The sequence below is a fragment of the Homo sapiens genome, chromosome X (genome assembly GCF_000001405.40).
Source record: "Homo sapiens chromosome X, GRCh38.p14 Primary Assembly".
Taxonomy (NCBI): Eukaryota; Metazoa; Chordata; class Mammalia; order Primates; family Hominidae; genus Homo; species Homo sapiens.
The window spans coordinates 71740465-71754573 of record NC_000023.11 but is presented as its reverse complement, the minus strand read 5'-3'; the positions used below and the strand labels follow the sequence as shown (position 1 = coordinate 71754573).

At 38.8% G+C, this 14109-nt stretch overlaps 1 pseudogene; it reads right to left on the bottom strand.

The window, feature by feature from the left end:
• Positions 1–9492: 9492 nt before the first annotated feature.
• Positions 9493–9746, bottom strand: LOC107987329 (cytochrome c oxidase subunit NDUFA4-like; annotated as a pseudogene).
• Positions 9747–14109: the final 4363 nt, after the last annotated feature.

Sequence of the window (14109 nt, the reverse complement as noted above, 5' to 3'; positions counted from 1 at the left end):
TTCTTTCCTGATAGCGGTGCCCTTCTCCCTTGTTTTCTTGACCAGTCTCACAAGAGTTTTACCAATTTCATTCCTCTTCCAAACACCCAGCTTCTGGTTTTGTGATCCTTATGCTTGTTTTCGCTTTCACTGATTTCTCCTTTTACCTTGATGACCTCCTTCTACTTTCCTTGGTCTTACGTTGGGCTTCTTTTTTGAACGTTTTCTCGTTAATTGTCTGCGATCCTCTTTTAAATATGTGCTTTTAGCAGCCTACACGTCCCTCTCAGGACTCCTTTACTGGTGCCGACAAGGGTTTATGAGTAGTATTTTTGTGATCATCCAGTTCCAAATATGGGAAACCATGAAAATCGCAACTTTCATGGGACGGAATGAATACATTGTGGTATGTTAATACAATGGAATACTATTTCAGCAACGGAAAAGTACGAAGTACAAAGTACTCCTCCATGGAATAATAGGCGCGAATCTTACAAAGATAACATCGAGGGAAAGAAGCAAGGGACAACACGGACATGCTTAATGATTCCATTCCTATAACTTCAAATGACAGGCAACACTAACCTACCTTGTTGAAGAATGCATACTTAGGATATAAAACCACAGAGAAGAGCAAGGAAAGGACAATCAGAAAAGTCAGGATGTTGGTTTCCCCTTGCAGTAGGAGTGGGGCTGAGCTCAGGCAGGGACACCCCAGGAGGCTCTGGGGAATGCTGGCGGTGTTCTTCTCTGGGACCTAGGGGAGCGTTCCTGTGCAGGTGCACTGGACAATCATTTATTAAACTATGCACATAAACTGTGATGTTTTCTTTCTGTACGTTGCCTGCCACCATAAGCAGACAAAACAATAGTGCTAAGGGAAGTAACACTGCATTAAACAGGTAAGTATTTTATAACCAGAAGGATAACCAAAATTTTATTTTCTCTATTTATAGCAGATCTCCTTGCGAGTACTAATATCAGTTTATTGATAGTGATAGCTTGATTTCAAATTCTCATAGATTTCACCAAACATCGTAGGAACGATGCTTACATAATTGTGATATTAATTTCGATGTTTTGGTAAATATTTTATATTTGGGTGGCAAGTTTTCATTCAGAATTTGTGATTATGTGTTGGAACACCATGCACTTGGTACATTTTTCTCACGGGAGATTTGTCACCTCCCCATCCACTTATTCTCAGGGGCAGACGACTTAGGACCTGAGAAAAAGAAATTAAGGCAACAACATTAAGGGGCAGCAACGCAAATTTTTACCTTCATAGTTTATATCAGTTAATTGTGGTATACTCACATGATGGAATACCTTTTTTTTTTTTTTTTTTTGCAATGGAAATGTACGGGGTATTCTTAGGGATACTGTCCATTTTTAAGAAAAGTCCATTACCAAGATATAACAAATTACATAAAGTTAACTATCATATGATATTTATAAAGCATACTACACATATATACAAGTTTAGAAAACCAATCGACTGTGAATGAACTGTTGAGAAGTGAGGAAAACACGTATTGAGTACTGAGGTCAAGAAAGAGTACATTGCAGTTCTAGAGGTCTTATATGTATTTCATTGTGCTAAAGACACCAAATATGAAACTCTACATAATGTATGATTCCATTTGTAGAACATTCTTAAAACTGGAAAACTACACATACAGAAAACTAATCAGTCATTTCCAGGTCTGTGGATTGTGAGAAGTGTTTAACTACAAATGCGTGTTATTTGTTATTAGCAATTTCGACCCTCTTTATGTTGAAATGTAACATACATAGAGAGAAGTTCACAATATGTGTGTGTTGTTTAATAGTGATTATCAAGGGCATCTCTACAGAAACACCCCCATGTCACAGAGGAGAACACCGCCAGCATTCCCCAAAGCTCCTGGGGTGTCTCTGCCTGATCTCAGCCTCATTCCTCCTTCAAGAGGAAACCAACACATTTACTTTTGTGATCATTCTTTCCTCAGTTTTCTCTATGATTTTTGGTCCCACGTCCTATACTACATTCTTTTATCTTTTTTTTTTTTTCCTTTTTCTGGAGAACGGGGTCTCGCTATATTGCCCAGGCAGGTCTCGAACTCCTGGGCTCAAGCTATCCTCCCGCCTCTTGCCTCCCTGAGAGCTGGGATTACAGGCGTGAGCCACCGCGCCCGGCCTACATTCTTTTAATACTACAGTATGCCTGCAGACGACATGTTCCTAAATCTAGAAAACCCCACAGTCTCAGCCCCAAAGCTCCTTAAGCTGATAAACAACTTCAGCAAAGTCTCAGGATACCAAATCAATGGGAACAATCACTAACATTCCTATATGCCAACAACAGTCAAGCAGAGAGCCAAATCAGGAACACAGTCCCATTCATAATTGCCACACACACACACACACACACACACACACACACACACAAGATACCTGGGAATACACCACACCAGGGAGGTGAAAGATCTCTGCAAGAAGAACTACAAAACACTGCTCAAGGAAATCAGACATGTCACAAGCAAATGGAAAAACATTCATGCTCATGGATAGGAAGATCAATATAATTAAACTGGCCATACTGCCCAAAGCAATTTGCAGATTCAATGTGATTCCTAGTAAGTTATCATTGGCATTCTTCACAGAACTAGAAAAACTATTTTAAAATTCATATGGAACTGAAAAAGAGCCTGAGTGGCCAAGGCAATCCTAAGCGAAAAAGAACAAAGCTGGAGGCATCACGCTACCCGACTTCAAAATATACCACGGGCCCACAATAACCAAAACAGCATGGTACTGGTACAAAAGCAGACACGGAGTCCAATGGAACAGAATAGAGAGCCCAGAAATAAAGCCGCACACCTACAACTCTCTGATATTTGACAGACCTGACAAAAGCAAGCAATGGGGAAGGTATTCTCTGTTCGGCAAAGGGTGCTGAGATAACTGGCTAGCCATACATGGAAGACTGCAACTGGATCCCTTTCTTACACCAGGTACTGGTCTGTTCTCTTGCTGCTAATAAAGACATACCCGAGACTGGGTAATTTATAAAGTAAAGAAGTTTAATGGACTCACAGTTCCACATGCCTTGGGAGGCCTCACAATCGTGGCAGAAGGCGAAGGAAGAGCAGAGGTGTGTGTTCCATGGCGGCAGAAAAGACAGCATGTGCAGGGGAACTGCCCTTTATAAAACCATGAGAACTCATGAGACTTATTCGCTATCACGAGGACAGCACGGGAAAAATCCGTCCCCATGATTCAATTACCTCCCACCGGATCCCTCCCACAACACGTGGGGATCATGGGAGCTACAGCTCAAGAGGAGATTTGGGTGGGGACACAGCCAAAGTATATCATACCGTATACAACAATTAACTCAACATGGATTAAAGACTTAAATTAAAACCCCAAAATATAAAAACCATGGAAGACAACTTAGGCAATCATATTCTGGACACAGGAACGAGCAACGATTTCATGACGAAGACACCAAGAGCAATTACAACAAAAGCAAAAATTGACAAATGGGGTCTAATTAAGCTAAAGAGCAAGCTTCTACACACTAAAGGAAACTGTCAACAGAGTGAACAGAAAACCTACAGAATGGGAGAAAATTTTTGCAAACTGTGGATCTGACAAAGATCTAATATCCAGCATCTATAAGGAACTTAAACAAGTTCCACAAGAAAAATACCAAACAACCCCATTAAAAAGTGGGCAAAGGACATGAACAGACACTTTTCAAAAGAAGACATACATGCGGCCAACAATCCCATGAAAGAAAGCTCAACGTCACTGACCATTAGAGAAATGCAAATCAAAACCACAATGAGATACCATCTCACGCCAGTCAGAATGGCTATTACTACAAAGTAAAAGAATAATGGATACTGGCGAGGTTGCAGAGAAAAAGGAACACTTATACACTGTTGGTGAGAGTGTAAATTAGTTCAACCATTGTGGAAGACAATGTGGTGATTCCTCGAAGACCTAAAGACAGAAGTACCATTCAGCCCAGCAATCTCATTACTGGGCATATACCCAAAGGAATATAAATCATTCTATTATCAAGACACGTGCACGTGTATGTTCATTGCAGCACTATTCACAATAGCAAAGACATGGAATCCTAAATGCCCATCAATGGTAGACTGGATAAAGAAAATGTGGTACATATACACTATGGAATATTATGCAGCCATAAAAAGAATGAGATTAGGTCCTTTGCAGGAACGTGGTTGGATGGGGAGGCCATTATCCTTAGCAAACTAATGCAGGAACAGAAAACCAAATACCGCATCTTCCCACTTATAAGTGGGAGCTAAATGACGAGAACACAGGGACACAAAGAGGGGAACAACACACACCGGAGCCTATCGGACAGTGGAGGGTGGGAGGAGGGAGAGGACCGGGAAAGTAACAAATGGTACTAGGCTTAATCACTGGGTGACGAAATAATTTCTACAAGAAACCCCCACGACACAAGTTTACCTATGTAACAAACCTGTACGTGTACCCTCGAACTTAAAAAAAAAGTTAAATTCAAGAAATAATAATGATATGGCTTGGTGTTGACTGTTCTGTACTTTTATATTAGTGGAATCAGAAAATATGTTCATATTTCTTGCTTCTTGTGTTTAATGTCAGGAGTTTGGTTTCGGATGTTTAAATCTGAGATGTGTGTTAGGTATCCAAGTGGAGATGTTGAGTAGACGAAGGTCTGGCTCTGGGTTGAAAAAGTATCTATGAGAGTCATCATAGTATCGATATTTTTTTCCAGGGCCCACTCCAGAGATAGAAATTACACCACTTTTCTATTGAGTTATGTTAAAATACACGGAACATAAAATTTACCATCTTAAGCATTTTTCAGTGTTCAGTTCAGTAGTGTTAAATATATTCGCAGTTCTGTGCTGCCAATCTCCAGGATGTCTTCAACTGCAAAACTGAAATGTATACCCGCTAAACAACTCCTCGTTTTCCCCTGCCCCCCAGCCTCTGGAAACCACCACTCTACCTTCTGTTTCTGAGTTTGAATATTTTAGATCCCTTATACAGGTGGAACCATGTAGTATTTGTCCTTTTGTGACTGACTCATTTTATAGCATAATGTCCTAAAGTTTTATCCACATTGTAGCATTTATCAGAATTCCATCTTTTTATGGGCGAAATCATAATTCATTTTAATGGCCAAATAATAACTCACCATACTTTGTTTCTGTATTCATCCATCAGTGGACACTTGGGTTGCTTCCATCTCTTGGCTCTCATGAATAATGCTGCTATGAGCAGGGGTGTACAAACAGCACTTTGAGACTCTGATTTCTCTTCTTTTGGATATAGACACAGAATGGAATTACTGGATCATATGGTAATTCTCTTTTTAGTTTTCTGAGTAACTGCCATACTGTTTTCCACAGCAGCTGTGCCATTTTACATTCCCACCAACAGTGCACAAAGGTTCCAGTTTCTGCACATCTTCACCAGTATCACATCAGTTTTATTGAACAAATGGAATTTATTTCATTCCTTTGTATTTTATTTTTGTTTATTCGTAATGACACAATTGTATATATTTATAGTGCACAACATGATGCTTTGAAATACGTATACATTGTACAATGGCTAAATTAGGCTAACTACAATATGTATGAACTCACATACCTTTCATCTTTTGTGGTGAGAACACTTAAAACCTACCCTCTTAACAATTTTCAAGTATACATTATTATTAACTATAGTCACCTTGTTTACAATAGATCTCTTGAACTTAGACTTCTTGTCCAAATGAAGTTTTGTATCCTTTGACCAATATCTCCCCAATCCTTCCCAGCCCCAGACCCTGGTAACCACCATTCTATTCTCTGTTTCTAAAAAGTTTGATTTTTTAAGATTCCACATCGCAGTGAGATCATACAGTATTTGTCTTCCTGTGCCTGGCTTATTTCACTCGACATAATATATTCCAGATTCACTCATGTTGCCACAAATGACAGGATTTCCTTTTATTTTTTTAAAAAAGGCTCAATACTATTCTATTGTGTGTGCACATACACATGTGCTTTATCCATTCATCCATTTGATGGGCTCTTAGGTTCATTTCACGTCTTGGCTGTTGTGAACAGTGCTGCAATGTATATGTGAGTGCAGATATTTTTGACATACTGATTTCATTTCCTTTGGCCATATATCCAGTAGTGAGATTACCAAATTAAATGATAGTACTATTTATATTTCTTTAATTTTAATTTTTAATGGATACATAATATTTGCACATATATATGGTGTACATGTGGTATATTGTCACGTGCATAGAATGTATAATGATCAATTCAGGATATTTGGGGTAACCATCACCTGGAATACTTTTCATTCCTATGTATTGGGAACATTTCAAGTCCTCTCTTCTGGCTATTTTGAAATATACAATACATTGCCGTTAACTGTAGTCATCCTACTCTGCTGCTGAACATTAGAAGTTACTCTGTCTTTGTTTTTTTGGGGACTGGGTCTCACTCTATTGTCCCAGGCTGGAGTGCAGCGGTGCAGTCACAACTCACTGCAGCCTCAACCTCCTGGGCTTAAGCGATCCTTCCACCTCAGCCTCCCGAGTAGCTGGGACGACAGGTGCGCCCCACCACGCCTGGCTAATTTTTTTTTTTTTTTTTTTTGTAGAGACTGGGTTTCACTATACTGTCCAGGCTGGTCTGGAACTCCTGAGCTCATGCGATCTGCCCGCCTCGACTTCTCAAAGTGCTGGGATTACAGGCATCAGCCACCATACCTGGCCTAGAACTTATTCCTTCTTTTCAACTATATGTTTGTACCTATTAACCAACTTCTCTTCTTCCCAACCCCTCGTCCTCCAATCCACACATCCTTCCCAGCCTCTCATATCTATCACTCTATTCTCTACCTCTATGAGATCAACTATTTTAGCTCCCTCATATGAGTGAGAACACACGGTATTTGTCTTTCTGTGCCTGGCTTATTTCACCTAACTTAATGACCACCGGGTCCATCCATGTTGCTGCAAATGAAAGGATTTCATTCTTTCTGTGGCTGAATCGTATTTCCTGTGTATATATGCCACATTTTCTTTATCCATTCATCCACTGATGGTTGATTCCATACCTTGGCTATTGTGATGAGTGCTGCAATAAGTATGGGAGTGTAGGTATCCCTTTGGTATACCAATTTCCTCTCTTTTGGATAAATACCCGGTAGTGGGATTGCTGGATAGTTGTACTTTTAGTGTTTTGAGAAGTCTCCATACTGTTTTTTTACAGTGGTTGTACTAATTTACATTCCCACCAACAGTGCATAAGGGTTCCCTTTTCTTCACATCCTCGCCAACACTTGTTCTCTTTTATCTTTCTGATAATAGCCATTTTAACAGGTGTGAAGTGATAGCTCATTGTGACATTTCCCTGATGATAAGTGATGTCGAGCATTTTCATACAACTGTTGACCATTTGTATGTCTTCTTTGGAGAAATGTCTATTCAGATCCTTTGCACGTTTTAAAATCAGGTGATTTGTTTTCTTGTTATTGAGTTGAGTTCCTTATGTATTTTGGATATTAACTCCTTATCAGATGTATAGTTTGTGAATATTTTCTCCCATTCTGTAGGTTGCCTCTTCACTCTGTTGATCGTTTCCTTTGTTGTGCAGAAGCCTTTCAGTTTGACGTAATCCCATTTCTCTATTCTTTCTTTGGTTGCTCATGCTTTTGGGGTCATAGCGGAAAGATTATCGCCCAGGTCAATGCCATGGATGTTTCTCGCTATGTTTTCTTCTGGCAGTTTACAGTTTCAGATCTTACGATTAAATCCGGAGTCCATTTTGACTTGATTTTTGTATATGATGTGAGACAAGGGTCCCATTTTATTCCTCTGCATGTGGATACTCCGTTTTCCCAAGACCATTTATTGAAGAGACAGTCCTTTCTACATTGTGTGTTCTTAGCATCTTTGTTGAAAGTCACTTGACCATAAGTGCATGGATTTTTTCTAGTCTATTATATTTGTCCATGTGTCTGTTTGTATGCCAGTACCATGCTGTTTTGATTACTCTAGCTTTTATTATATTTTGAGATCAGGTTGTGATTCCTCCAGCTTTGTTCTTCTTGCTCAAGATTGCCTTGGGTAACTGGAGTCTTTTGTGGTTCTCTGCGAATTTTAGGATTGCTTTTTCTGTTATGTAAAAATAGCATCGGAATTTTGATAGGGATTGCAGTGAGTCTGTTGATTGCTTTGAGTAGTATGGACATTTTAACAATATTGATTCTTCCAATCCATAATCATTGGATAGCTTTCCATTTATTTGTGGCTTCCTCAACTTCTTTCATCAGTGTTTTATAGTTTCCAGCGTACAGATCTTTCAACTCCTTGGTTGAATTTATTCCTAAGTAGTTTACATTATTTTTGAGAGCTACTGTGAATGGGATTGTTTTCTTGATTTCCTTTTCAGATAGTTTGCAATTAGTGTATGGAAATGCTACTGATTTGTGTATGTTGGCTTTGTATTTTGCAACTTTCCTTAAAATTCATTTGAATTTTAAGGTTTTTCATAAAATATTTTAAGATTTTAGATATATAAAATCATGTCATTGTCGTCTGCAGACAGAGATAATTTAAATTCTTATTTTTTTTCTTTTGCTTTTTGGGACAGGTTCTCTCTTTGTCACCCAGGCTGGAGTGCAGTGATGGGATCTCGGCTCACCGAAGCCTCGCCTTCCTGGGTTCAAGCGATTCTCATGCCTCAGCCCCCCAGGTAGCTGGGACTACAGTCGCATGCCACCACGCCCAGCTAACTTTTGTATTTTTGGTAGAGACAGGGTTTCGCCATGTTGCCCAGGCTGGTCTCGAACTCCTGGCCTCATGTGATTCACCATCCTCAGCCTCCCAAATGTTAGGATAACAGGTGTGAGCCACCGTGCCCAGAAACTTTTTATTTTCTGATTTGTGTGCTTTAAATTTTTCTCTCTTGCCTAAATTTTTTGGCTAAAATTTCCAGTACTATGTTGCATTGAAGTGGTGAAAGGGGGCATGTTTGTCTTGTTTCTGATACAGGTAGTATTAAAACCAGGGTCTTCCATCAGCTATGACAAGAGTGTAGTTAAAGGAAAGAATCAGACCAAGGACTGAGCCCGGGGGCTCTCTATTTGTTAGGATAAGAATTTGGGGAGAAGAGAACTTCCGCATAGCTGAACACATGGAAGTTCCTGGAGGGAGGTGCACCTGGAGAGGGCATGGAAGCTCCATGCCCCTTCCCACATACTGTGTCCTATGCATCTCTTTCATCTGGCTGTTCGTCCGTATCCTTTTTCCTTTGTCATGTTCTTCATAATAAATGGGTAAACATATTTACTAATCAGTGTTAAAACCCAACACGATACACTAACATGATTTTAGTGCACTTAGAGGAGAAATATTTCCTAGTTAAGGGGGAAATTGTGCAAAGGGCCTCTGGAAGACCTTCATTCTAAATTGCTTTGTAGGGAAACATTTCATTTAGAAGTCTGGACATTCTTTTTCAGTTTGCTGTAATCTACATTCACTGAGTAGAACTTGTATTGATCATTGGGACCCAGTTTATTCCAGGGTTCTGGGGGATTCTTTCTGTCCCAGCTAACACCTGGGTTAAACAGTGCCAGATGCAAGACATGCAGCCCTGCTCTGGTGCCTCCTGCTCACATATATACAAAGAGAGAGAGATCACACTCGAATGCTTCCTGGCCTGACCAAAGAGCTGGGGGAGCATCTGCGTAGCCTGGAAGGAGGGAAGAACAAATATTTCAGGCCCGGGTCTAAGTAATCCAATGCAGCATTTGATGTTTGGAGGAGACTTAGGCTATATAGAATTGAGTTAACAATACTCCTGGTTTCATAACATGCTACTCATGATTGATGTCAGGCCCTATTTGTTTATTTATTTTATAATATAGTGTTCTCCCATTTACCTATTACCCAATCCAAAAACTAGACTATTACCAGTAACTTACGTCCACCTCTGAGCTCCCCCTCACTGCATCCTCCTGACCCTCTTCACTCCCACTAGAAGCAACCCTAACCTAAATTGTGTACTTGGTATTTCTTTGATTTTTATTGCAAATAAGTACACACACACACACACACACACACACACACACACACACACACACACATATATATATATATATATATATATATATATATATATATATATATATATGTACTTATGGTTTTGGCTCACTGCAGCCTCAACCTCCCCAGCTCGTATATATATATAAATATATACTTATGATTTTGGCTCACTGCAGCCTCAACCTCCCCAGCTCAGGTGATTCTCCCACCTCAGCCTCCCGAGTACCTGGGAGCACAAACGCGCGCCGTGATGCCTGGCTAATTATTTGTAGAGATGGGGTGTAGCCATGTTGCGCAGGCTGGTCTCCTATTCCTGGACTCAACCACTCCACCCACGTCTGCCTCCCAAAGTGCTGAGATTACAGGCGTGAGCCGCTGCGCCTGGCAATTATACTGTTCAGTTTTGCTTGATTTTGAATTTTATGAAAAGGTTGTCATACTGCATGTAGTCTTGTGGTAACTGCTTTTTTCATACTTATACTAACATTGATCCATTGTTGAGCATAAAACTGCAGTTCACCCATTTGCCTTGCTACATAGTATATCATGGTATGCATACACCACAGTTTATCTACACATTCTCTTATTTGTGATCATTTGCATAGTTCCCAGGTTTTTTGCTACTGTGGTCAGTGCTGCTGTGAAATTCTTGTCCAGTGGACATTGACAGGAATTGCTGAGTTGTCAATGATCTACTTTATATATTGATGCCACATTGTTTTCCAAACTGGTTGTGTTCGTTTATATTCCCAACGTGTTGCAAGCTGTATGAGATCCCACTGCTCTGCATCCTCTCTAACCTTTGATGTTGCTAGGTTTCTAAATCTTTGCCAATCAAATGGGTACAAGATTTATCTTGAGGTCATGTTTAGCATTTCCCTGACTACTGATGAGCTGAGCATATCTTCATGTGTTTATTGGCCACATAGGTTCCTTCTTCTATGGAATTCCTGTTGATGATTTTTGCCTATTTTCTTACTGGGTTGTTTGTCTTTCTTACTGATTTCTAGGAGTTCTCAAAATATATTCTTGATAACCAATCTTTTGTCAATTGTATGCAGGATAAAGATCTTCTTCCAGCTTGTACCATGTATTTCCACTTTTATATGACATCTTTTAAAAGTTGAGGTGTAACAGGCCGGGCACAGTGGCTCACGCCTGTAATCCCAGCACTTTGGGAGGCCGAGGCAGGTGGATCACTTGAGGCCAGGAGTTCGAGACCAGCCTGACCAACATGGTGAAACCCCATCTCTACAAAAATAAAAAATTAGCCAGGCTTGGGGTTGGGCACCTGTAATCTCAGCTACTTGGGAGGCTGAGGCAGGAGAATCGCTTGAACCCAGGAGACGGAGGGTGCAATGAGCTAAGATGGAGCCATTGCACTCCAGCCTGGGTTACAAGAGCAAAACGCCGTCTCAAAAAAAAAATAAAATAAATAATAAAATAAAATAAATTGAGGGTTAACATGCATACGACAAATCACAGAAACTTAAGTGTACAATCTTAACACAGATCTACACCCATGTAACCGCCATCCAGATCAAAATAGAGAACATTTTCAACATCCTCGCATCCCTAAAAAGAGAATTTTGAGAGAAGATGAGGAACCAGTAAAGAAGATTGAGGAGTGACCACTGAGATTGGAATAAACCCAATGTCTTCTCCTCCTGGCAATGGCAGACTAGACAATTCAGATAAACCCTCTGTGTTGGCCATCTGTTAGTTGGCCATCTGGTTTAACTCAATCTACAGCCTCCCCCCGTCTCTCTGATGATTGGGCAGATATCACATAGTTCAATGGCCCAACCCTCTAGTCATATGGTTGGTCTTCCTAGTATGGCCAGCCTCCATTCAGAGTCATCTCATTACATAAACTATCTAGGGGCCTCCCATGATTCACCTCATTAGCATAAACCATGTAGTGTGGTCCGTGGGGCTCACCAGGAATGACAAAGGCATGCCCATCACTCAGGAAATTGCAAGGGATTAGAGGTTATCTCCCAGGACTCAGGGACAAGGTCCAGGCAAATTCTTTATTATACATTAAGTGCACAGAAAAATGCACATTATAGAAAAAATTCATCTTATTGGGATCTTTCCAGATCCTGGGAATATAGAAATATACTGCTATGGTTCGGATATGATTGGTCTGTCCCCGCCAAAACTCATGTGGAAATTGGATCCCCAATGTGGTGGTGTTGGGAGATGGGGCCTTGTGGGAGGTGTTTGGGTCATGGAGACAGATCCCTCATGAACAGCTTGCTGCCGTTCTGGAGGTAGTGAGTGAGTACTGGCTCTGGTGAGACTGGATTAGTGCCCATAACGGTAGGTTTCTTATAAAGCCAGCATGCCCCTCGGGTTTTCCCTCTTTGCATGTGTCTGCTTCTCCTTTGGCCTTCTCCACTATGTTTTGGCCTAGGAGGTGGCTGTCACCAGAAGCTGAGGAGTTACGGGTGCCATGCCTCTCCTACTTCCCAGCTTGCTGAACCATGAGCTAAGTCAATCTCTTTTATATCTATATTACATATCTAAATAATATATAGATATAGAATATATCTGTATATTATATAGATATAGAATACATCTCCATACTATATAGATATAGAATACGTCTCTATACTATATAGACATAGAATACGTCTCCATACAACACAGACATAGAATACGTCTCTATACTACATAGACATAGAATACGTCTCTATACTACATGGACATAGAATACGTCTCTATACTACATGGACATAGAATACGTCTCTATACTACATGGACATAGAATACGTCTCTATACTACATGGACATAGAATACGTCTCTATACTACATGGACATAGAATACGTCTCTATACTACATGGACATAGAATACGTCTCTATACTACATGGACATAGAATACGTCTCTATACTACATGGACATAGAATACGTCTCTATACTACATGGACATAGAATACGTCTCTATACTACATGGACATAGAATACGTCTCTATACTACATGGACATAGAATACGTCTCTATACTACATGGACATAGAATACGTCTCTATACTACATGGACATAGAATACGTCTCTATACTACATGGACATAGAATACGTCTCTATACTACATGGACATAGAATACGTCTCTATACTACATGGACATAGAATACGTCTCTATACTACATGGACATAGAATACGTCTCTATACTACATGGACATAGAATACGTCTCTATACTACATGGACATAGAATACGTCTCTATACTACATGGATATAGAATATGTCTCTATATTATATGGATATAGAATATGTCTATATTATATAGATATAGAATATGTCTATATTATATAGATATAGAATATGTCTCTATACTATATAGATATAGAATATGTCTCTATACCATACAGATATAGAATATGTCTCTATATTATATATATAGAATAAACAGATATAGAATATATCTATATATTATATCTATATAATATATAGATATAGAATATATCTATATAATATATAGATATGTAATATATCTATATTATATATCTATAAAATATATAGAATATATATAACTATATAATATATAGAATATATCTATATATCTACATAATATAAAGATATATATCTATATAATATATCTATATTAGATATAGAGACCCTATTTCTACAAAAACTTATAATATAGATATATATATCTATACATCTATATAGCATATATCTAGATATATATATGCTATATAGATATATAGATATATATCTTTATATTATGTAGATATATAGATATATTCTATGTATTATATAGTTATATATATTCTATATATTTTATAGATATATAATATAGATATATTCTATATCTATATATTATATAGATATATTCTATATCTATATATTATATAGATATAATATATAGATATATTCTATATCTGTTTATTCTATATATATAATATAGAGACATATTCTATATCTATATAATATAGAGACATATTCTATATCTGTATGGTATAGAGACATATTCTATATCTATATAGTATA